Source organism: Homo sapiens, chromosome 5 (assembly GCF_000001405.40).
Source record: "Homo sapiens chromosome 5, GRCh38.p14 Primary Assembly".
Classification (NCBI taxonomy): domain Eukaryota; kingdom Metazoa; phylum Chordata; class Mammalia; order Primates; family Hominidae; genus Homo; species Homo sapiens.
Window position 1 is genome coordinate 5,631,546 of NC_000005.10, and position 26,380 is coordinate 5,657,925.

Below are 26,380 nucleotides of genomic sequence, written 5' to 3' on the forward strand. Positions count from 1 at the left end.
GAAATGGACCAAGACAGCTCATTTGGATGCCATGCCCGAGGCTAGACTTTGCTTAAATTGGCACAGGTTGTATTTGCTCTGATGTTGCTTTAATGCCTGTGGAAGAAGATCTCTCACAATTTCCCCAGGCAGGTATTTTAGTGGCATCGCTATTGTCATCACAGTGTCTCCTGATGTTTGTTCTAAATCACTGTTTTGCTCCCATGAGCAAATACCCTTCCTAAATGATTCCCAGGATTTTCTAGTAAGAAGAGGATTGAAGGAGGGTGCTATAGAGCCCTTGAGCAGGTAGCTGGACTCATTATCCGGCACTTTCCTACAAGGACACAGCATTTAGGGCAGTGCCAGAGCCTCATCCACCTTCACGACACCCTCTCCCCACAAGAATAGGTCCCCAAATGGGTTAAATTGTTTTTCCTTCAGACCTCCTCTTCTTTCATGCTCTTCACGCTCTATTGAGATTGCACGATATGTCTTTCAGGTTGATGCTTACACTTGCCACCGACCTAGAATGTCATCCAGAATATTCCATCTTTGCAGAATGTGAAGTCATCTGTGAGATTTTTAGCTGAAAAAGAAAGTACAACAGGCTGGATCCTAAGGCTGCATGCTTACATTTTTTGTTATTATATTTTTAGCTGTGAAATTCTACTCATCATTATTTTCTAGACCTTGAAGATGATCTTTTATCTTTTCCATTTTGAGGAACTTAGGGTCAAAAAACTCTTGATTCCTCTCTTTTTTGTTGGGTAAAGACATGAAGTTGTTAGTGTTGTTTATCCCAGTTCACATGTACTTTGAAAGATATGAAGAGATGTTGAGTAGCGGCTTAAGAATGGTCTGTGATGAAGCTGCTCTGCTCAGGTTCTGTACTCTGCAAATGACATTTTTACCTTTGCCATATGCTCCTGTTCAGTCTCCACCCAAAGGACAAGAGACAGGTGAGAAGGCTGGAGGGGGAGAAGGGACTACTCGCTCCTCCCTTTTGTTTATGTTTCCCATCAGTGTCTATGACCTACTCTCAGCATGAGTTGATCCCAGTTTCCAGTTTTTCCCATAACCTGAGCCTTATGGGATCCCTTCCAAGATTTTGTGGCACCAGCATCTACAGAACAGCCCCCTTTCCTCAGAGACCTGGGTCTCAGCTCAGCAGGGCCTCTCACCCAAGTTTTCTGTTCAAACAAATCCAACCTCTTCCCTTTGTCTCCTCAGCCCTTGAAGGCTAACTGATTCTGCAGCTATCACCTCTGTGTCTCTATGTCTTTTTAGCCCTCTAATTCCTAGTCAATCAATTCCCTATACTCAATTCTCACTGTTAAAATAACTGGCATGCTTTCTGTTTTGTTGACTGGATTCTGAATGACCCAGTGTTCTTGTAAATAAATGTCGGGATGAAGATAAGCATCGCCTAGAAATATGGTTGAGGAAATCTAAAAGGATTTAAAAAAATTGGTGAGAACATTATTTCAGATAAAACTCAAGAACTATGGCAAAGATGAGATAAGTTTTCTATTTAATTTAAGGGATGTGAAGATTTAGCATATTTACCAAATAAGAGAGTCAATTCCATAGAAAGAGAGAGAGAATGAAGAATACTAAAAAGAGAGGATGATTGGTTGGATTAAGTCCTATAAAGATAAACTCAACATAGAAAAGAGGTGAACTGTTCTTTCTTTGGAAAAAGGAGAAAGGATATGAGTGAAGGGAGGATGAGAATAACAATGAGTTTAACAAGTGGGGAGAAGCAGGGAAATTCCTAATCCTGTTCCGAAGAAGTATAAATTAAGACTATTTGAGAATGAAGGGATTGGGGATGGGATCACAGTAAATAGAAACAGAGTAGCATAAGCAACAGCTAATGGAACACATCTCCCAGAAACTCAGTATTTGGTAGATTAAAGGTTGCTGAGCAGCACTGGGCTGCTCAGGTAGGTATTTGTCATAAAACAAGGGATAGCTACAGAAAAGCTTTGGAGCTCCAAATAGGATGTCTCAGGTGTCAAGTGTGGATGACACTGGTGACACAGAGACTTAATCCACCAGAGGGCAGGCACAGATGTCACATACACTTTTTTTTTTTAAAACATTGTTTCACATCAAAGGTCTACCGCTCCCTTTATGCCAACTATTTATCATCATTTTAAGTTTTTTTATTCAGCAAATTCCATTGAGTGGTGAGCAAGCCTTGAGAAGTACTTCTAGGGCAATTAGGCGACAGGTCAAGGTGACTTCCCCAGCACTGTGCAAATATTTGCATCTCAAGATGCTTGGGAGATCCAAGGAGCTTGACTTTGTAGTGGAGAAAGTCTAAAATTGGAAGTACTTGGAAACGTGCGTGTAAATTGAATTCTTTTCCTGAATTAAACTTAGATATATTTCCAATTTACATTATAATTTCATCACACTTTATGTTTAACCTCCCATTGTGTTTCCCACCCACCCACACTTATCACCCTGGCTTTGTCATTTTATGTAAGCAAGCCTCCAAGTGTTAGAAGAGATTTCACCTTGATATTTTAGAGAATGGTGAAGAGAAAATATTTTTTTAACTCCAATTTTTAAATTTGGACCTTGGACCTAGGGTTATCTCCAGATTTTTGTGAATGATGACAGTCATTTTAGACATCAATGTGTTGGTCCTGGACTTGATATTTGCCCTTCTCTCTCATTTTCAGTTCATGCTGACACCTAAACAAGAGACTTTTTTTTTTTTTTTTTTTGCTATTGATCAAAAGAATTAAAAGTTGTAATAGGAATATTAAAGTCAAATGAAGGTAAATTCCCGGTGAGCAGTTCCTGTTATCTTGTTAACTCTGTCATTGGAGACCCAGAGCTTCCTCAGGTCCTGCACAGTGCTGTTCAGACACAGTATCAGGGTGGCTTCCCTATGTGAAAGGGTTTATCACCAACCTCCTTCCCAGCTCTCAGGACCATGCGAGCTGTGGCTCTGGGTCCACCTTATAATTTTGGAAGACCTGCATGGCTGCCATTCACGTTGGTTCTTGGCTCCTTTTTTTATTAGTCCTGTGTGGCTTGGTACAAAACCTCTGCCTGTTTTGTATTCTTTGCTATTTAGTCATTTTATTCAAAGTTTCACATGGAAAGGCAAAGGGCAGAGTATGTCATAATATAGCATCTAGGGTTTTGTGTGTGTGTGTGTGTGTGTGTGTATGTGTGTGAGACAGAGAGAGAGAGAGAGAAGAGAGCATGAGAAAGAACACCTTGAAATATACTTTGAGGACCACTGTAATGGTGAGAGGTTGACACGCCCCTGTCTAACACTGCAGGAATTAGCAGATCCTTCCTACCATCCAAGGGAGGGCATAAGCAAAACAGTGATTGTCCAAGGACTTTGAGAAAGTCATCTGGGAACCCACACTGCTTTGTCCTGCTCTCTGTCAGTGTACAGACACTGTTAAGACAAAAGCCTGCAGCCATCGCAGGCATGCACAGCATATGCTTCTATGTGGGTGTTTATTTTTCACCAGATAGAGTGCTTGGAACTGCCTGGCATCGTTCCTCTTGAGAGAGAGCTAGGAAACAACAGCAAAGTGGGTTTTCTTTTCTTTTTTCTTAGCTGCCGGAAAAACGGGATAAGACAGAGGCTGCAGGGACACAGACTGAATGCTTATAAGAAAGCCTTACCTTTCCCTGAACCTTCCCATTGACCCTGAGTTCCAGCTTCAAAGGCTGGGCATGTGGAACTGGGCTCATTTACCTTTTTACTGGAGAGCGAGGTGGGGAGCTCATGCCACTGGGTGTTCCAGAGATACCTGCAGAAGACTCTTAAGGAATTCCACATGTCCACTATTTAGCATTTAAAAATCTTTCAAGGAGGACAGATGAATGGGAAAAGAGTATTTCCTAAACCAAATCAGCCTTTTCAGAGAAAATAGAAGTATAAGCCAAAAGGAGAACACAGAAATTAAAGCACAGAAAATAGGATCGATTTAAGCTCTCAAGTTGAGTTTAAAGCTGAGGGCCATGCTGAAGTACCTGTGTTTCCTATAAACCTCCAGCGACCATGACTGAGGGCTTGGAGAAAGTCATGGAGCTCAATGGCCATGATATGATGCTCAGCAAAAGGCAGGGGCTTTGACACCTGAGAGTGACTTCAAATTCTGGCTTAGACCATTGTGATCTGTGCTGTTTGGAGTCAGTTATTCCCCTTTCTGAACCTCAGTTTCTCTCTTTACCATTTGGGGACAATACAACACGCAAGGCAGAGCTGTGGGGATTAAAGACACCATATATAAATAAATGTGAGGCCCCCACACTGTGCCCGAGTCATCGTAGAGGGCACTTTGTGAATGACACTGCTTATCACATCAATTCAAGTATGGCTACTTTATTGATTTTTAATTTCTTCTCATAAAATACTGACTTTTGGAGTTTTATTTTTGAGAATGGGGAGGGAGGGGAAACAGGTGAGGAACCAGGTCCTGAATTGTTACGGTAATAATACAGTTGATGAGTTCATGAACCAGAAAGCCCAATAATGGATAGAGGCTTCTGCCACTAGCTGAGGACACGGGACACAGGCTGTGGCCTTCAGCTTTCCCCAGAGCGGAATGAGAGCTTCAATCTGTCAACTGAAAAACCACCGTCTTCATACATTAGGATAGGTGATTTCACTTCTTATAAAGGGCTGCAGCCTGCAAGGTCACCATTCGGAGAGGCTGAGAATTGTAGCCTCTGGCAGAGCCCAGAAGGAAGGCACTTTGAAGGAGGAGGGGTTGGGGCAGGAGCTTCATGCAGAACAGATTCTTGTTTAGCTGCTAGAGAAAAGAAACCTTGTGCAGTTAGAACATAGTTTATTCTCTAAGTGTAGGGGTGCGTGACTTAACCCTTGCCTGGCATGGCCTTGGGTCTTGTGTATAGTTTGATATATTATTGCCACAAAAGAGTTTATTCCGCTAGTCTTATGATCTCTATTTTAACATTAATGCTGGTCAGTTTTGTCTAAACCACAGAAGGGATGGGGTGTAAGGAGGCGTATCTAACCTCTCCTCCCGTCATGGCCAGGAACTCCGTCTTCAAGGTTTCTCTGGGTTCCCCTTGGTCCCTAGGGCATTTGCTCAGTCAGTTGGGGAACTTAGTATTATTTTAATTCTCAAATCCAAAGGATCTCTTATTAGGGACATTGATTTAGAGCAAGGGCTCTTCACTAAGGTCGATTTTGCTAACCGTGGGCATTTAGCAATGTTTGGAGACATTTTTGGTTGTCATAACTGGAGGGAGCTACTGGTATCTAGTGGGTAGACATCAGGGGTGCTGACAGACATACTATGATGCCTGGGACAGCCCACATAACAGAGAATTATCCAGCCCCAAATGTCAATGCTACCAAGGTTGATTAAATGTAATAAATGATGTGTGTGTGTGTGTGTGTGTGTGTGTGTGTGCATGTAAAGAAAACTTTTTACATGGATAGACATGATTTAGAAGTTTAGGGACTTATACTTGATTTAGAAAAAATAACAAGAAGATAAAACTTATGCTCATATTTAAAATAAATACCTTCTAGCCTGCTTTTCAGTAAAGGGCGGTATGAAATCTGGACAGACATGTAAGATGTGAAAATTTTAGCCAAATGCTTCATGCACTTCAAAGATAACATCTTATTCTTTGAAAGAAGAAATAATTTCATGTTTAGTTTCAAGAATCTTTTTCACTTTGGCCACCTGGTTTTAATCTAGTTTTATTTGCTCACCTAAACATATCATTGCTGAAAAAAGAATGAAATTCAAAATGTTTGATATAAAATATCCCTTTTTCCCGCCTTTCCTCCTTGTCTCTATATCATTGTGTAACTAGATTTGGTAATAATGAAGCTTTATCCAGATGGAGGGGTGGATATCTACTAACAGAATTACCCACAGATGCTTCATAAAATCCATCTGGCCGAGAGAAACATGAAGCTGAGCTGTTCTGTAGGTGAGCCATATTTTGCCATGGATAGAAAGAAATGTCTACATCTTAAGAGTGCTTAAAGGATTTTAAAATCTCAATTTTTATTAAAAAATGTTTATTAAAGACATTTTCAAGAAGAAAAGAGGACTTAGGTTTAATAAATTAAAATGCCTTGCTTTCTTATTTTTTCTCCATTTTAGCATATGCCATATTTAGGACATATAGGTTACTTGAGAATGACAGCCAGGTATACAGCAATACCTCATGTAGCTGGCTAGAGTGAGGCTAAGGGCCAGATGGATAATTCCCTCTCTTTCTTTCTTTCTCTCTCTCCTTCTCTCTCTCTTTCTGCTTCATTCCTAAGCTTGGTTTTAGTTTTTTCATATTTAAAGGACTAGAAATCGATGTTGGCAAGAACCCAAGGGGATACTTACCTTGAAGGTGGTATGGATTTTGTATTGTGCCTGGATTTGGGGTCCCTCTAAATAGCATCTGGACTCCACTGGACCCTGAGCTGTCCTTAGAACCTACCCTTACCCCCGACCGATTCATTAAGGGTGGCCTCTTGCTGGATTCCAGAAAGCATCCAAGCCGAGCAAGTCTTTCCAGACCTTTCCCAATTCATTTCCATCTGATCATTCAATTCGAGTCTCCCAGTGCCTACCATGTGCCAAGGATCCTTTTAGGGTTGTCCATCCCATCCTACCACTTCTCTCCCTGTATATCCTTTAGTAATTCATTCTACCTCTCCATGCTCCAATTCCTCCATCTAACACAATATAAATGACACAGTAAATTACTTATTACTTAATTGGCATGCTCCTGCTTACTACACAGGCCGCATTTACTGGTAATCATGGCCTTTCAGGGAGCTCCTCCATGCTTATCTGTGAAGATTGTGTCCCTGGGAGATAAGTTCAGCCTTTGCTCTGTTGTCCTGGGTTATTTTCACTGGCTGTGGCCTCTGAGTTCAAGCACTCAGGATACATCTCCCGAGCACAGGATCTGGTGGTCATGACTGCTGCCGTGTATTTTACATAATCGTTTTGGAATGTACTTCACAAACTCCTTGGTATTCTAAAAATAACCTATCCCTTTGCTTATTTTTATGCCCTTACCTTGGCTGCCAAGTTTTTTCTTGGAGGGAAATATGAGTTAAAACTGATATACTGGAATGGTATTAATTACAGCACCTTGAATAGTAACGAAAAGCAGCATTGCTAAAATTACTAGTTAATCACATACAAATAGTGCTTGCTGTCAGCTTTTTATAGCTGAAATTGGGACCAAGTTCGGCCATGGAGCAGTGAAAAATATTCAGAGCTGTTATGTCCTCCAAGAATCAATGATGTGAGTAGGTTTATCCAAAGACTAGAAGAAAAAGCATTATAAATGCAACTCTACAGTTTGAAGTCAAATTTCTTGTTCTTTCTGGGTCACAATGCCTTTATCTCTATTTAGAAGATCAAAAAGAGAAAATACAACCTTATAATGACACAAACAGGAATTCACTTACTGAAATATTTAAACTGTGCTGAAAGTTTTACATTATGAATAACTCTGCTTTTTAAAATTCGATCACCATGCTATAACAGTAACAGTATTGCAATTAAATATAGTTGATATGTTCCCAATGCTCTAGGCCTTTGGCCCTCATTTTTAGAGAAAGGCCCCTTCATAAAGAAAGTGAATCAAATCCCAGAAATAACCATTTCTTGGCAGAGACAAAGAAGAGACCAAAGTTGACGCTGTAATTTAATGAAAGCTAATTGAAGTGATTCCAAAGTTGTGCATGGAGCTTTGGAAACTTCAGTTCTTTTTTTTTTTTTTTTTTTTTTAGACGGATTCTCGCTCTGTCACCCAGGCTAGAGTGCAGTGGAGCGATCTTGGGTCACTTGCTAGCTCCCTCCCAGGTTCACACCATTCTCCTGCCTCAGCCTCCTGACTAGCTGGGACTACCACCTAGTGCCCACCACCACGCCCGGCTAATTTTTTGTATTTTTAGTAGAGACGGGGTTTCACCGTGTTAGCCAGGATGGTCTCGATCTCCTGACCTCGTGGTGGCCTCCCAAAGTGCTGGGATTACAGGCGTGAGCCACCGCGCCGGGCCTGGAAACTTCAGTTTAAAATAAAAACTGTTCCCATAGTCTAAGAGATATGTAAAATATAATTTCTTGGTAAAATAAATGGATAAACAGAAGTTCATGAGCAGCTACTCAAACTTGCTCAAGTACTGTGAGCATCATTCTTTGTTCTCTCTTTAAAAGGATCCTTGCTGATTCTGCAGGCACACTTCACATTAAACATCAACAGAAAAAGCTGAAGAGCGTTCCATCAACTGCTAATGAAGATACATTTTGTAATTTTTGTCCTAGATAGTAGCATTGACTTTTCAAAGCAATTGAAAAATTGGTTTTAGGAACCATCACAAAATTGCTAAACCATTCTATCCCAGGTCTAAAAACAAAGGCCTTGGTCTTCCTTACACAATGCTTGGCAGTGTCCGAAGGGTGAGTGAAGTCAGTGTGTATACCAACAGAAGGTGAGCATGCACAAGGAGCTTCAGACGTGCTCCCTTGATAGTGTTGGCTCATGTTCAAGAGCAAGAAACAGTGTGTGGATTTGGGAACTTGGAATAGCTGCTTGACCAACATAGGTTTCATGTCTTTGGAACAGAAGAAAGACAGGATCTTACTGTTTTTTGTTTTTGTTTTTGTTTTTGTTTTCAAGGAAGGGAAGTTTTACTCAAAGGCCTTTACCTCTCAGCATGACTGATCCATTTTCTTTTTTTTCTGGCACTTCCTACCACCAGGTGAACATTTGCAATCATTAAGATATTAGAGCTTAATAACAATCTCAGGAGGTCATAAATGAAGTTATCCCTTTGCAAACAAAATGGGTTAAAATTCCCATGGAATGGAGAGGAAACTAATATTATGTCCTCCTCAGGTCTTTCCTCTGTCCACTAGACACAGAAGAAACCTCTTTTGACCTGGGGCTCAGGGACATCTCTGACTTTGAGGTTGGTCCTCTTCATCAGAATAATTTTATTAGACTTGATGTAATACTGTTAGAATCTTGAGTCTCCAGTCTAGTAATCTGCCTCCTGTTGTTTCTCCTGCGTCAATGCCTTCATCTGTTATGGTCATTATACCTGGCTCTGACATGAGAAGAAGAGGTGATATATTATAAAAGTGTTTACAAATGGCCCTCCCAGGATTTTAGTCCTTCAAGAACTTGGGGTCTGCGTTACTTTGATCAGCTTCTTAGAAGTCAGAGCTCTCCTGTTTGATGTACCTAGCCCTCCTGTCTGTTGGGTGCCCTGACTCCTGACTGCCATGAGGTCATTCTACAGTCCTAACACAAATCCCTCATAGCTGGCATCCTCCTTCCCTGAGGATGGGCCCAAGACACAAGTCTATGTCAGCAATTTTGGAAAAGCAGTCCCAGTGGCACCTGTGTCAGGATCATGTGGGATGCCCATTAGAAATGCAGACAGTCTGGGTTCTCCAATAGCCTCCCTGATTCAGAATCTCTGGAAATAAATTCCTAGACTTGGCACTTAAAAAAGCTTTTCAGTACACTGAGATTAGTGTCCATGCCAGGGTGTGAGCTACTGGGTTATACAAGGAAAGTGGCATCTGAGACAAAGACACATAAAACAGAAGTGTTGTCGACCAGTGACTTGTCCTGAGTACGGAGTTTGGAAGGAGTAACATGTATGTTCTCTTGAGATTATAATTATAATCAGAACAATGAAAACGGCAATCCGTCATAAGAACACTTATGTGCAAATAAGGTAGGAATATTTCCATTCAAAATAATTTCTAATAGCCACCTTGAGTACTTGGTTGAAGAAAGTCCATAGAATGTTGGTGGCCATTGAAATTCAAATCTCCTTACGCATTTTCTGACAAAATGATACAGTTAAACTAGAAGAGCAAATACCGTTACCCATAATACACATCTATAGTATAATTAGGAGGTAGGAATACTCTGTGCTTCATGTACACAGCCAGATTCAGGACATGAACTTGAGCTCATCCTTGAAGAAGCAATCCGGTGAGGGTGTGTAGGAAAGCAGGGAGGAGAGAGGAAGTCTAGGAAAGAAAGCCCACCCTGGGTGGGAAAATACCGAAAACTACTTTCAAAGAAGTAAGGGGACAGAATTCAGACCTGATTGCGAAGAAAAAAGGAAAGCAAGAGGTGAAATCAAGGTCTTACAGAAACACAAGAGAAGCACTACAACATTAGCAGCACCACGCCTCCCTGTAGCAAGAAATAAATAGATAGACAGACAGACAGATGATAGATAGCATCTGACTATACCAACAGAAGAGTGTGTGCTTGAATTACATCTAAACACTGCATGCACGTCTGCATTCAGCTGTTATCTCTGATCTGGTACCAACAACAACAAGAACAACAACAACAAGCATTTAAAAATGACTGAGTAAAAGAGAGAAAAAAGCTTACAAAATAAAGAAGAGAGCATAGGAGAAGTGAACATAGTAAAAATGTTTATCAAATATATAATTGAGATTCCCCGAAGAAGAGCAGGCCATGAATAGGGCAGAGAAGCATTATCTGAAAAGATCCAGGCAAAAATTTTTCTAAAGCTGATGTAACACATTAATCAACAGATTCAATTATCTGCACAAAAACACACACACAAAAAAAAACAAGAAAAAATAATGAGATAAACCAATGCCTCCTCCCAGTTTAAAAAAAAAAAAAAGGAAAGAGAAAGAGAGAGGGAGAGAGATTGTCTCTAACTATACCAATAGAAAAAAAAAACAATCAAAACAAACATCTAGATATAACATCATCGAAAAAAAAAAAGAAAAAATATAGCATATAACAAACAACCAAAGGGGGAAAAAAGAAAAAAAAACAAAAAACGTTACTTTCAAAAGCGCAACAGTAAAGCTGATTTTTAACAGGGATAATTGAAGCAAGAAATAATGGAATAACAACTTTACCTTTAAATAGATTAAAGAAGATTATTCCTAATCTAGATTTATAGACCAAGTGATCACACCCTTCAACAACAAAGCAAAATAAATATATGTTCAGAAAAGCAAAAATGAAGAGAAATAATTACCAGAAGATCCTCCCTAAAAGACATCCCTTTGAGTTGAGGTCTCGCTCTGTTGCCCAGGCTGGAGTGCAGTGGTGCAACATGGCTCACTGCAGCCTCGACCTCAAACTCCTGGGCTCAAGTGATCCTCCCACTTCAGCCTCTTGAGTAGCTGGGACAACAGGCTAAAGAAAATTCTAAAGGAAATTCTTCATAGAGAAGAATGCTGATCACAGATGGAAGCCTGGAAGTAGAGAAAGAAATGCAGAAGAATGGAAAGGGTGAATTATATGAGTAAATAATGTGAAAGGAAAATAAATCTTAGGACCCCCAAATAACTAAGCTGAAAGGAATAGTCAAGCTGGGAACTGATTTTGATTAAGTAATAGGAAGTCAGCGTCTAAATTAAATGAGTAGAGATCATCATGAAGTTCTTCCTGAGGGAGAAAATAATGTTAATAAACACGGAACAGCCCAGCACTCATAAGGAAACATGAGCTTAGCAACTTTGGTGGAAATATGACCTCAGAGAGTGGTAGAGCAATCTCCAGGCTTGATTATAAAAACAAGAGGTTGATTCAAGAACCAGAAATATAAAGTGCAAACATTCAAAGCCAATGTGGAAACGGACAGAGAACAAAACCTTAAGATGGAGAAAGGAACTATAGTTTTTGATCTCATAGGGAACAATTTCATCTGAGTGACACCTCATTGGCCTAAAGGAAATATGGAAGGGTTTATTTGGTTTTTAGAATCCAAAACCCTGGCTCACAAAAACTATACATCTTTGTGCACATTTCTTCACCTGTCTGGGTCTCTATGAGATGTGCATGAGACAATGTGAACTTTAATTTAATTAATTTTCACATTGTCTCATGCACATCTACATGGCACATAACCTTGAGAATGCTCTCAGTAATTAGACACCAGTATTATTAGATATGGCATAAGACCAGAGAGAATGAGCATATTATCATCTGGCTTTCTGTGCCCAGAGTTTTGTGTGGTTTCCCTCAGCAGGAGCTACTGACTTGTAAATTGTCTTTTCTGTGGGTGGAGGTGTGAATATGTGCTCCAGTTGGAAAAATCAGGGCACAGAGTTGATATGGCACCTCCCCAGGGTTTCTTTCTAATGCTCCTTCTCTCCAAAGGTGACAGACTGTGTGGCACTGAGGACAGAGAACAGAATGTGGATGACACGTGGCCCCTTCTGGATGATGAGGATACACTCATTCCCGCTCTGCTATCCCAGCCTCCTGACCCACTCGGAGTCACCCTTTCCATAGGGAAGGAGTTTTCTAGTAATTAACCATATTAATTACTTCCTCCCCGCATTGACATATCTTCCTCCCCGCAAACTCCCAAACAGCTGGATAGTCTAATAATCAACTCCTTTCCTTGTGGCACCTCCAGATTTTCTGTATAATAGAGGCTTGTCTTGGTGGAAGGGTAGGAGAGAGGATAAGAGACCTTGTGAAGCTGTGAGCGTAATGTTTTTACCTAGATTTTGTGCTTATTATGATCGCCTGTGAACATCGAGGGGACTGTGTGGGCTAAAGTCCTCTTCTGCTTCTCTCTGTTCTTATTGCCCTTAGTTTTGGTGTAGAGCATGGGACAAGCACATGACAGGGAAGACCAAGCCCAATCAGCCTTTTTCCAGAACACAACCCTTTTGGAGAGTTATTTGCTGCATCCTGGTACTGTTTTTCTTCAGGCAAACCACGCTCGATCTTATGCAAATGGCTTCCCATTAAGATGGATAAAAATGGGCTCAGCTCCCCCTAGGTTCCAAGAGATGAGCACCATGGCTCATCTGTTAGGGCTGGAAAACAGAGCAGACAGGGCAAGAATGGGGAATGGGCGCCTGCAAACATTTGGCAGCAGTGCTCGGCTCTTCTATTTTAAGTAGCACAGTCCTAAGCCATGGAAGAAACTTCTCACATAAACACTGCCTTGTTAATTCCTCCCCAAATCCCCAGGAGGAGTGTAGGTGACAAATATTGTTACCCCACGATTCCAGATGGCAGACATGATGTCAGTCACTTGGCATCTTTTGTATCTCAAAGTCACAATGCTCTTTGGGGATACAGCTGGGGACAGAATACGGGACTCTGCCTCGTTTGTGCAAAGACAGCCCATGCTTCTATTGTGGCATGCAGGGCTGTCTCCTAACTCCCTGGCCATGTGACATTTTGACCTTTTGGAATACAGATGAGAAGCTCCTAGGGTTGAGTACCAGACTTTCCTTTTTGAATCAGGTACAAAGTGAGAGGCAGCCCCTCCCTGCCAACACAAACTATAGTCTTAGTCACAGAGATTGATTTTTTAAAGATGCTTTGAGGAGACTCTATAGAAAATTGAGAGATCACAGTAAAAACCGTCAACAAATAGCCACCAAAAATTCTTCCAATATTTGACTATGGGGAGAATGGCTACCCGCCTTTCAGAATGGCTCCTGCCCCTGGAAAAGTGATGAAAATATTTATGTTTCTTTTCTTGGCAGGAGCTTCTATCACTGGGCATCTGCTAGAGAGGTTTTCTTCCCCTGTTAGTTTATCCTTGGGAGCAATAAATGTAATGAGATTATGTTAATATCTTTATTGGATAAGGAAATCTTTCTTAAAAGGCAGAAACTAAACATCTAATGAACTCTTAGAAGGAGGAAGAAATCATTCCCTATGTGTTCTCCATGTTATAATTTATTTCTCCTATTTTACAAATAATTAAAGCAGATTATGAGTAATTTGCTGTAAGATCATTCCTGGCAAAAAGGAAAGCAGGGTGCAGAGATGGTGAGATTATAATTCATTGACTCTATGAGATAAGAAGATAATCAGTCAAATTCCTACCAACAGCTGTTTATACCCACAGGCCCTCTAATTTAAGACTGGGCAAGGTTACCAAGCAAATGTTGATAATGACTTGCAGGCCTTTGGCTGAGAGCTGGGCAGTCAGTGGAGATGTGGGGCCAATGAAGTGAGAACATCTTTTCTATCTTGATAAGAGAGCGTGTCAACTGCAGTGGGTGGGAGCACAGACAGGAGTAGCCCCCGAGCTGACTCTCTGCCCTGCCCAGGCAATTGCTATTGTAAGTCCTATGCAGAAGTGCAGTCGCCCTGAGGGACAGGCCAGATGGGCACCTGTGGTGAGAAGGAATAAGAGGGTACTCCTCACTGAACATCCCAAAGATGCTATACCTAAATAGAGGTGTGGAGAGGACAGAGGTTGACCAGCAGAGGAAGAGAAGGCTTCTTTCCTGCTAACGGAGCTGAGAATGACGTTGAAGATTTTGGGGGAAGAGGAAGGCAAAGGGCACCATTGTGAATGACCTCTGTCCTGACCCAATCCAGGTGGCGTGATCATGCCAGGGTTGTGAGCGAGAGGACCAAACAGGTGCAAGGGGATTTTCAAATGCTTCCTTTGTATTGAGGATTCCTTCTGCCAGGGGCAGGAGGTGAACCCAAGGATCATTGTAAACTGAAGGGTCAGGATGCCTGTGGCAGGGCTGCCTGCCCCGCAGTAACAGAAGACCTCGCTGGGTAGACTTTGTGGGCCAGAAAGTGACTCACAAAGCCATCGATACCTGCCTTCCTGGCAGAGCTGGAAGGTTCTGTCTTCTGGTGCCAAAGCTTTTCTCTAAGGAAGGCCTCAGGGCAGCTCTTTGAAACTCATTTTATTGAGTCATTTTGATTAGGGGCATTTCCCTGTGGAATAAATAGATTTGTCCTAGGCTGTAAATCTTGCTTCTTGTTTTCTATCTTGTATTGACTGTGGATAGGTTTATCTGGTAGCCCAGGAGAAAGTGTTTTTCCACATGGAGCCAAATAACAGCCTGTATATGGAACAAATAATTTTGTGCTTTAACCAAATATACTGTCTGATATCATTGCAGTCACCTAGCAAATTTCTGGGGCCCTACAAGTAAAGGAAGCATGTGAGGACATTCAGCAGTTGCAAGCTTCCTGACAAAGTTGAAATCATCTTTCACTTGGTACCCATGTCCTCCTCTTCTCAAGCTGCCCATCACAAAGAACGACCAAGCTGGCTGTCAGCTCAGTTGCCTGAACAGTATCCAAACCATCAGAACCACCTCCACCCTCCCTTCGTCTTCCCACCATCTCACGAGAAACCAAATCTCCGTCTGTCAATTGCACTGTTTTCTCAGGGTTTTACAGGGAATCAGACCAATAGGATCTATTATAAGGAATTGGCTCACATGATTATGGAGGTTGACAAGTCCAAAGTTTGCAGAATTGATGTCTCAGTTTGAATCCTAAATCTGGTAGACAGGAAGATTTCTCTCCTACTTGGGAAAGGATCAAACTTTTATTCTATTCAGACCTTAGACTAATTGGATAAGGGCCACTCATATTATAGAGGATGATCCTCCTGACTCTATTAATTTAAGTGCTAATCTTATCCAAAAACACCCTTACAGAAACACGCAGGACAAAGTTTGAACGAATATCTGGGGAGCCATGGCTCAGTCAAGTTGAACGTAAAATTAACCATTGCACACACCTTCTTCACATCTCTCCAATTCATCCATCTCTCAATTTAGTTCTGGCAAAGTTGTCCCTTACTTGCCTGCATTGTTACAACAACCTCTTAGCTCACCTGAAGTCTTTATTCTTATTCATACCAACTTTCCCTAGACCACCCTACACCATTCTTTGAAATTCTTCAATATAGCCTACCTATCAAGTTCGGATTTCTTAACATACTCTACAAATGCTCTAAGAATGGACTGACCATGCCTCTTCTTCCTCCCCTCATTCACCCAGCCTAATCCTTCTACTGAACTCATGCTCATCACCTTCTCTGCATCCTCCGGTGTTCTCTCTTATCCATGCTTTTGAGTAAGGGTATTGTTCTATTTGACATACACTTCCCTTTCTTTATTCCCTGGCCAATATCTATTCATCCTCCAGGATTGAGCCAAGGATTATTCCTTTCTGATGAGCTTTTCTTGACCTCCTCGCAACCAGTCAGCTCTCGGTGTCCCATTTATGGACTCGATAGACTCTCTTGTGCCTTTCTGCAACTGCATACTTAGCTTTTGGCCAAGCTCAGTCTCTGTGCTACATTAGACTCTGCATGGCTCAAGGTAGGAATTACATGGCCCAGGACTCCTGCTGGTCTCTGCCACAGCCCTTGGGCACGTGGGACACACATTGCACCTGAAATTAAAAATTAGACAAAATGATGACAGAAAGTACTCAGGATCTGAAATCAGAATGTGTGGGTCTAAGGCCCAGTGCTGCTGGCAGACTGGTGAGGTGATCTTGCTCAAACAATTTCATGTTCCTGAGCCTCTGTTTCTCCTGCTGGGTGGAGATGAGCTTCACTCTCTGAAGACCCTTATGTGTGGATGGAAGGGTTTAGTGGGTCAGGAACCCTATCTGAACAACAAAAGCCAAGGAAATGCCTTGTAACAGCCACTTTTCTGCCTCGCCGATGAGGCGCAGCAGGCATGGTGGTCAAGGGCATGGGTTCTGGAGTCACCCTTCTGGGGCTCAGATGCTGGCTTGACCACTACCTGTGTGGACCCCAGGCAGGCCAATTCCTCTATGCCTCAGGTCTCGGGTCTATGACATGGTTGTGAGTGCTAATAACCACAAGGCTCACTGCAGACGCTTGCTGTGAAGTGCGGTAACACGGGAGGGTACTCAGAACAGTGCCTGGCACGGAGTAAGCCATGGTGATATTGCCTGTTGTTGTTGCTGTTACTATTACCACCTGGGTATTAAGAGCACAAACTGTGGTTCCTGGCGCTGCCATTTCCTTTCTTGTGACATGGGTGGAGTTAACCTCCCTGGGCTTCCTCATCTGTAAAGGGTGTAATGACATTGTAGTCTGAGGTCACACGCCTGGAGATGCCCTACTTTCCCACCCAGGCCCTCTGAGCTGAGTGGTGGCCAGGCAGTGGCTCACTAGGGCTATTGCTCTTTCAAAGCCCCCAGAACATGAGTAGCCTCTCCTTCAAGTCCAGGGCTCCTGACCTGAGAGACCTGCGCAGCAGGGTGGGGCACGGTAGGTGCTGATGATTTGCAGGGCTCAAAACTCAGGCCAGGCATGGAGCAGCCTCAGCAGAATAAGCCCGAGGTTGCAGTACCCAGGGCTCTCCCAGCACACAGAAGCTTCGTGTTTCCTTGTTCTGCCATCACTCATTATCTTGGGTGCAAAGGGCTCTAGAGTGCCTCCTTGACCTTGTCTGGGCAGAGTCAATGACACCACGCACGGCCTGCCCACCATCACCGCTTCCCTCCATGCTGTGTGTGTGATATCTCATTACAGCCACTCTGCCCCAAGTCCCGCTGATGGGACTTTTGGGAGTGGAAAATGCAGAGGTCAGCTTTATCTCAGACCTTTATTTCCATTTAATTACACTCCTGCTATCTTCGTGTCCACACTCAGTCTTGTTCGTAAATGAGTCTTTTCTCCCCGTTTTTGTCTCTCATCTCAAGATCTAGCTGACTTAAGCAGTTTAGTCCTAGTTTATTAACTTCTTTCATTTCTACTCATTAACTGAATATTGTTTCTCTCTTTCTTCATTATAGATTGCTCCACCCCCTATCATTAATGCTTCCCACCTCACAATGGGTCACACACGTAGGGAGGGATCGATAAGCCATGATTAGTATTATTATTCACACAGAAAGCAATTATGGCAGACCAGAAAGTTCTAGAAAGAGCTAGAGTGGTTCCCAGCAAACAACAGTTCGTGAAAAGGTATCTGGCACCCTATTGGGCTCAACACCAAGTAGCAGGAAGATAATACATGGTGTTCAGAGCTCTTGGGCTCAGGGTTTCAGTTCCATGGACTGCTGATTACATAGATGACTTTGGGAAAGTTACATGGACTCTGTTAGGCTCCGTCTCTCCGTCTGTAAAATGAGAACGATAAACCCAATACTGAATGTGGCACAAGGATGCATTCAGTACCCAGGCCATTGCCAAGCCAGAGGAGGGCTCCATGAAAACCCCTGGTGCCCCAGCTGTGACTGGCGGCCTCTACTGCTGAATTTGGCCAGAGGTCCTAATAGTCACCTCCCTTGGCATCACCTGGTTCGGCAGAGATTAAGAGCTTTATTTCTGTTGGACAATGAACTCTGGGAAACAGAAGTGCTTCACTGTGGCTTCTTTGTCAGCCCTAGAGTATGGCTCACGTTGTTGGCTGCTGGAGAGAAAAAGGGCCAAATGAAAGGAGCAGTTCACATCACATTCCTTCTCTCAGACAGGGCTCCAGAGTGCCTGGCAGCCTCTAATCTCTAGGGGCAGAGCTTTCCTGGGGCATCACGAAGAAGCCACCGCAGTGAGGATAAGGACTTGGCCGCTGCAGGCAAGAGTTGTCAGGCACCAGCTCTGCTGTGGCCAGTGGTAAATGCAGACCTCGACTTTTCAGATGCTTGTTTATGTGCTGTTCATTTGTTTACCAAAGCAATAATAAAAGGCATATTTTGAATAATAGGATGATAGGGGGTGCTGACTCAAGATTCTTTTAAAAGCCTCTCCTGCAGGAGTAATCAAGTTCTGCTACAAAGTTCTATGGACAATACTTACAGGTTCCAGTTTTATTTAGAATGACAGCTGTGACTCTTAAAAATACTATAACATATAAATTTACTCCGTTTGGTAGCAATTTAGAAATTGGCATATTGTATTGTAAGCATATTAAACTGGAGAGTCACAGCTGGTCAACTCTAACTCTATACTGTTCACTTTTAAGAAATGTTATCCACTTACTTATGCATTTGCCTGTTTATTTTGTGTATGCTGCCGGGCTTGTGATAGATATCAGGCTCTGTACCAAACCTGAAAATACAACCGTGAATAAGGAATGGATGCTGCCCTCAGGTATCTAAATGCCTAGGGCGAGAGTGATGCAAATAAACACAGATACATTCCTGGCATGCAATAGAAGGTCACATGGTAGTTGTGGTATACGGAGGAGGAACTGTTCTCAATGCTGAGAATGTTCTCTATTTGCTACTGACAGACAAGGGGGAGCAAGAGAATTAGGCCCATTCCACATGGTAAGCAATATTTACCGAAAATTATACATGTTTTTATGTATACTATAGGTGAATTACATTTTTAATGTCAAATGCTGCTGTTTAGGTTTTGGATTTTGAGTTTTTAATTTTTAAAATTAGTTTTAAAACCACAATAAAATATGATGTAAAAAACATCACAGACATCAAACAGATAAAATGGGGAAGTCCCCTCTGTATTCCTCTAATATTCCTGTTGGCCATTTTCCAAGGTAACGACTTCTTAAAAGTCTGGTGTGTTTGCTCATATATAGATGTTTTAAGTAAATATGTGTACATGTACGCACGCACACACAAACATGCATCCTTTATAAACGGTATCACACCATGCAGTTGGTTTAAGCTGATCTTGAAAGCAGGCTGTGTATTCTCCATATGTATACATCCAGACATTCCATTCTCTTATCTAACTGGCCACTACTTTAGGAAATTGGGAGGCTCTTATAATGTGAGTCTTTTTTTTTTTTTAGATTGAATTCACATAACACAAAATTAGCCATTTTAAAGTGAACAATTCAGCGGTATTTAGTACCTTCACAATATTGCATCACCCACCCCTCTGCCTAGTTTCAACACATTTTCATCCCCTATCAATATAACAAAAAAGATATTAGAAAGAAATGTCTCCAAATATGTGGAATTTATCTGGGAATGAGGAAAGAGGTTCATAATTCAGGATGCACATAGTGGCAAGTGACAAGTGCGCTAGTGGCAGAAAGGGAAAGAGGAGATTTTTTTTTTTTTAATTTATTTTTTGAGACAGAGTCTGGCTGTGTTGCCCAGGATGGAGTGCAGTGGCGCTATCTCGGCTCACTGCAAGCTCCGCCTCCCGGGTTCACGCCATTCTCCTGCCTCAGCCTCCTGAGTAGCTGGGACTACAGGCGCCCGCTACCATGCCCAGCTAATTTTTTCTATTTTTAGTAGAGACGGGGTTTCACCGTGTTAGCCAGGATGGTCTCGATCTCCTGACCTCGTGATCCACCCGCCTCGGCCTCCCAAAGTGCTGGGACTAAAGGTGCTCACCACCACGCCTGGCTAATTTTTTCTATTTTTTTAGTAGAGATGGGGTTTCATCGTGTTAGCCAGGATGGTCTTGATCTCCTGACCTCGTGATCCAGAAAGGGGAGCTTTTATTGGCAAAAAGGAAAAGTTCTGCCAAGCTGCTTTGGAACACAGTTCATTCCGGAGGCCCAAAGCCAGAGTCACTTTTGGTTCATGGGTGGAGTTGCCCTTCCTGGGCACGTGTTCTTTTGAGAGCATCTTATCTGAGTGACTGCAGTCCTCAAGAATGTCTAGTGATAATATGTCTATGTGTGTAAAACGTGCAAGCCATACACCGCAGGAGATGTGTGAAGGACGCGAGATGCTTTCTTGTGGTGTATTAGAACGTGCTTGGAAACAGTTCTGATCCCAGACACGCAAGCGTGAGCCCCTCCCTCCTGCCTTCCTGGCCTGATTTTGCCTGGATGTGAGAAAAGTGATTTCATCGTAGTGTCTTTCACACTCTCCCGATAGAAAGTCTCACATCCATTAAATAGTTACTTCCCATTCCCCGTAGCTATAGCCACCACCAATCTGTTTTCGTTCTCTAAGGATTAGCCTCCTCTGGATATTTCTTTCATACAAATGGAATCATAATATACGTGACCTTTTGTGTCTGGCTTCTTTCACTCAGCATAATGTTTACAGGGGTCCACAACCCCTGGGCCGCCAATGGTACCGGTCTGAGGCCGTTTAGAAACCCGGCCGCACAGCAGGATGTGGGCAGTGGTGAGCCAGCATTAGAGCCTGAGCTCCGCCCTCCCATCAGCTCAGCCGCAGCCTTAGGTTCTCCTGGGAGCGCGAACTGTGCATGTGAGGGATCTGGGTTGTGTGTTCCTTATGAGAATCTAACTAATGCCTGATGATCTGAGGTAGAACAGTTTTATCCCTACAGCACACCTCGCACCCCAGCCCACGGAAACATTGTCTTCCACGAAACCAGTCCCGGGTGCCAAAAAAGCTGGAGAGTGCTGATGTTTTCGAGGTCATTACCGTTGCATGTATCAGTACTTCATTTGCCTTATGACGGGATACTGGTCTGTTGTACGTGTATTTTGCGTGTTTTCTGGAGCTGCCAGAAACTGGTGTCTTAGACAACAGAAATCTATTGACTCATGGTTCTGGAGGCCAGAAGCCCCATATCAAGGTGCCAGCAGGGTGGGTTTCTTCTGAGGATTCCATCCCAAGCCTCCCTCCAGCTTCGGGGTCTGCTGGAAGCGGCCTGTGGCAGCACAAGGTGGGTCTCCACACGACGCTCTCCCTGTGTGTGCGTCTGTCTCCAGGTTTCTCTTGTTGTAAGAGCGCCAGTCATATTGCATTAGAAACTCATGCTCCTCTGGCATGATCTCATTTAATTAATGACATCTGCAAATACCCTATTTCCACATAAGGTCACATGCCAAGGTACTGGGGAGTAGGACTTTAACATAGGAGTGTCTTCGAGGGAGGCAAAATGTATTATGACATAAAGGATATACCACTTTGTGTTGATCCATTCATCAGCTGATGCACATTTAGGTTATCTTCACCTTTGAGCTACGGTGCATCATGTTGCTATGAACATTTGGGTAGCAGTATTTGTTTGAGTACTTGTTTTCACTTCTTTAGGGGTATATGCCTAGGGGTGGGATTACTGGATCACTTGCCAACTCTATATGCACTGTTTTACCATCCTACCAGAAATGTCTGAGGGTTCCGATTTCTCCTTCTTTTTTTTTTTTTTCTTTTATTCTTCTTTTGAGACAGAGTCTTGCTCTGTCACCCAGGCTGGAGTGCAATGCTGCAATCTCAGCTCACTGAAACCTCCGCCTCCCAGGTTCAAGCGATTCTCCTGCCTCAGCCTCCCAAGTAGCTGGGATTATAGGTGCCTGCTACTGCATCCGGCTAATTTTTGTATTTTTAGTAGAGATGCGGTTTGCCATGTTGGCCAGGCTGGTCTCAAATTCCTGACCTCAGGGTATCCACCTGCCTTGGCCTTCCAAAGTGCTAGGATTACAGGCGTGAGCCACCATGCCTGGCCAATTTCTCCCCATCTTTGCTAACACATATTATCTTTCATTGTTTTAAAAATATTCTAGTGAGTGTGAAGGGGTATCTCATGATGATGTTGGTATCATCGTGGATTTTAACCAGCAGATTCCTGGAGAGCATTCAGGTTGTCTCCAGACTTTGGCTGTTAGCACATTAGTGTAATGAAATCTTGGTACATTTGATATTGGGGATGATTTGTGAGCATTGTTTTAGGATAGAATCCTAGATGTGGAATTGCTGAAGGATGTGTATTTGTATCTGAAAATTTGATAAATATTCCCAAATTGACAAACAATTTTAATAATTTATATTTCATAAAGTATTTAACAATGCATTTTCAGTCTTTTGACAGTTCTGTCTTTCAATTCATTAAAATTCTTGCCAATAATAGTATAATATTTGTAAATTCCCTTTCTCCCTGCCCTTGCCTCTGCCTCTCTCTTTCTCTCTGCAAATGTGGCACAGTTCAAGCACAAGGTATCTGGAAGTTCATCATATATTCTTAATATATTAATACTTCCATTTATAAAATATCATCAGTGAAGACAGATCATTTGACTTCTTTTTTTTCTATTTGGCTGACTTTAATTTTTTCTGTTGGTTGATTGCTCTGCCTAGGACTTCCAGTGCTACACTGATAGGAGGTGGCGAGAGTGGCCATCCTTTTATTGTCCCAGTTCTCAAGGGCAATGGTTCTAGCTTTCGCCTATTCAGTATGATATTGGCTGTGGGTTTTTGCGAGATGGCTCTTATTGTTTTGAGATATATTCCTTTGATGCCTAGTTTGTTGAGGGTTTTTCTCATGAAGGAATATTGGATTTTTCTGGATCTATCGAGATGATCATGTGTTTTTTGCTTTTAATTCTGTTTATGTGGTGAATCACATTTATTACTTTGCATATGTCAAACCAGCTTTTCCCCCAGAAATAAAGCCTACTTGATCATAGTGTATTAACTTTTTGACATACTGCTGGATTCGGTTTGTTAGTCTTTTGTTGAGGATTTTTGCATCTATGTTTATCAGGATTATTGGCCTGAAGTTTTCTTTTCTTGTTGTGTCTCTGCCAGACTTTGGTATCAGGCTGATGCTGGCTTCATAGAATGATTTAGGGAGGAACCCCTCCTCCTTGAGTTTTTGGAATAGTTTCAGTACATTGCTAGAATTCAGCTGTGAATTCTTCTGGTTCAGGGCTTTTCTTATTTGGTAGGGTTTTTTAATTTATTATTACTGATTCCATTTCAGGACTTGTTATTGGTTTTTTTAGGTTTTCATGTTCTCAAAAGGAGACTTACAAGTGGCCAAGAAACGTATGAAAAATGCTCGTCACCACTAATCATCAGGGAAATGCAAATCAAAACTACAATGATAGCGTCTAGCACCAGTCAGAATGGCTATTATTGAAAAGCCAAATAATAACAGATGCTGGTGAGGCTGCAGGAAAAAAGGAATGCTTATACACTGTCAGTGGGAGTGGAAATTAATTCAGCTACTGTGGAAAGCGGTTTGAAGATTTCTCAAAGATTTCTAAAAACAGAACTACCATTCAATGCAGCAATCCCATTACTGGGTGTATGCCCTCCCCCTCAGATAAATCGTTGTACCAAAAGGACACATCCCATTACTGGGTATATGCCCTCCTTCTCAGATAAATCTTTCTACCAAAAAGACCCATGCACTTGTGTGTTCATCACAATAGCAAAGACATGGAGTCAACCTAGGTGTCTATGAATGGTGGATTGGATAAAGAAAATTGGTACATATACACCATGGAATACTATGCAACCATAAAAAAATGAAAACACGTCCCTTGCAGCAACATGGATGTAGCTGGAAGACAGAATCCTAAGTGAATTAATGCAGGAACAGAAAACCAAATACCACACATTCTCACTTATATGTGGGAGCTGAACATTGAGTGCTCATGGATATAATGGTGGAAAAAAGAGACCCTGGAAAATGCTAGAGGTGGGAGAGATGGAAGGGGTTGTGGGTTGAACTACCTATTGGGTACTTTGTTCACCACCTGGGTGATAGGATCCATACCCCAAACCTCAACATCATGCAATGTACTCCTGTAACAAACCTGCATATGTACCTTTCATATGTACCTTTCAACCTCAAAAAACCTGCATATGTACCTTTCAGCCTCTAAAAAGTTGAAATTATCTAAAAAGCTTCTGATGTCAAAATAACTATTTAATTAAAATAGAACCCCAAATGCTAATTTGTTTGTAAAAATTTGCTTTGATTTGATTGTTTCTGTTACTATTTTTACTGAACATCCTTTTATGTTTCATCTTCCTGTTTTATTTTCTCCTCTGTGATGACCTATTTTTATTTATATTTTGGGGGGATTATCCTGCTTTCTTTCTAGAGACCTGGGTGAAGTCTTGATATATTGGTGATCCTGACCTTTGCTTTTTTCGTCAGATATAGTACTTTTTTCTCTAAGTTTTTCTCAGACACATCAAACTCATTCTAGTCTTTGGTTTTGCATTGCTATTCCATCTGCCTAGAAGCTATAGACTGATGGATTTCTATTTTATCCAAAGGGCTACAATCTGTAACTAGTAGTATTTATTTTGACGAAATGTCCCAGGGTTGGCCAGCAAGACCCCCTTTAAGTTGGCTACTGTGTCCTTTGGAGGGTTTCTATCCTTGTGGAAGAACCAATAGATCAGCAGAAGATACTGTGAGGTGGAAACACCTATGAGGCATCGGTCTAGGAGCCAAAGCCCTAGCCCTTTCCTGTCCACACACCCTCATTCCCAGTACCCAGAACAGTGCCTGGCTCTTAATACGTGTTTTGAAGGGATGATGACTAACTGAGTGAATGAATGTGTGGACACCCCGCCTAGAAGATCATTCTCTCTTTTCCCAACTACTTATCTTTCCTGAGTGCCCCGCAGGTCTCTCACGTAGCCAAAGCCCTTTGTTGCAGGGCCCTCGTGTTTCTGGAACATGCCTCTGTTGTAACATAGTATTGCAATCTAGGCATCTTATTTTTTCTATATGATGAATATGAGACAAATTCCTGTGTCTTATTTATGTTTGCATTGCCAGTAAATGTTATACAGAACCTAGTATTACAGCCTCTAAAAGTATTTATTTTAGTTAGAAGACTCAAGAGACAGCAAGGATAGAATAAAAATAGATCATGCTGCCATGCTCTTCTTAGTGGATTTTGATGGCATCTAAGATCATGGCCATCTGATCAGCCTACCTGGGTTTCTGACAACACTGGCTCAGAAGAGGGCTGACAAAATTTACGGTGAAGATATTTCATCCTCCCCTGAGAACTTGTAAAGAGGCCATTTGCAGGAGGACCTGAGGAGCCTGTGAGTGGGAGCTCTTCCCAAGAGAAAAGAGAGTTAATCTAACACTTCCAGATTAATCTAATTGGCTCAACCCAATGCCAGGGCACTATAGTCACAGAGGTTAGATCATTTTGAGAACTCTGGTGTTGAGGTAAGAGACTGGTAAGACTAATTTCCTGGTCCCTATGGGATAAAGTGAAAAAACCAGCAGAAATAAGCAGGTAGCAATGAAAGCTATCCCTAGTAGCCCTCATTGTTCATTAGCATAGGACACTCATATCAGCACCATGACAGTTTACAGGTGCCATGGCAACGACCAGGAAGTTACTGTTCTTTTCCTAGCTAATTCTAAATAACCCACCCCTCAATTTGCAATAACCCCACCCTTAAATTGCATGTAGTTGAAAATGGGTATAAGTGGGTATAAATACAGTTGCCAAGAGCCCATACACTGCTGACTGTGGGAATAGTGACTATGTGTTAGCCCTGCTGTGCGAGGAGCAGTGCCATTCAATAAGATTGCTGTCTAATGTCACCGGCTCACCCTTGAATTCCTTTCCCTGGTGAAGCCAAGAACCTTCCTGGGCTATGCCTCAGTGTGGGGGCTTACCTGTCCTGCATCAGAATCTGTCACCTGATTTTTTTCTTCTGATGCAGCTAAAACCAATTCGCTTCGTTTGAACCCTGTGGAGGACATGGCTGATGATGAAAGTAAAAATAAAATCATCCGACTGCATTATCAGGTACCTCTACTTTGAAGCAGAAAGTCTGGTATTTTAGACTCATGCCGATGAAATGAAAATGAGGAAAAACAAAACCAAACCAAACCCTAGAGAGTCGTGTTCCTTCTTATTGTAACTAACTTTTTGTTTCACCGTAATTCTTTATTGAACTTGAATAATACTTGAACAAGAGCAGTTTGGAATATTTGGCTTTTAATATC

At 42.1% G+C, this 26,380-nt stretch overlaps 2 annotated features.

The window, feature by feature from the left end:
* Positions 20,306-20,816: an enhancer, noted in NCBI's record as "H3K4me1 hESC enhancer chr5:5651964-5652474 (GRCh37/hg19 assembly coordinates)". NCBI's record gives its function as "activates a minimal SCP1, AML or CMV promoter by ChIP-STARR-seq in naive H9 embryonic stem cells {active_cell/tissue: H9 hESC(naive)}" and the evidence as "EXISTENCE:reporter gene assay evidence [ECO:0000049][PMID:30033119]".
* Positions 20,817-21,326: an enhancer, noted in NCBI's record as "H3K4me1 hESC enhancer chr5:5652475-5652984 (GRCh37/hg19 assembly coordinates)". NCBI's record gives its function as "activates a minimal SCP1, AML or CMV promoter by ChIP-STARR-seq in naive H9 embryonic stem cells {active_cell/tissue: H9 hESC(naive)}" and the evidence as "EXISTENCE:reporter gene assay evidence [ECO:0000049][PMID:30033119]".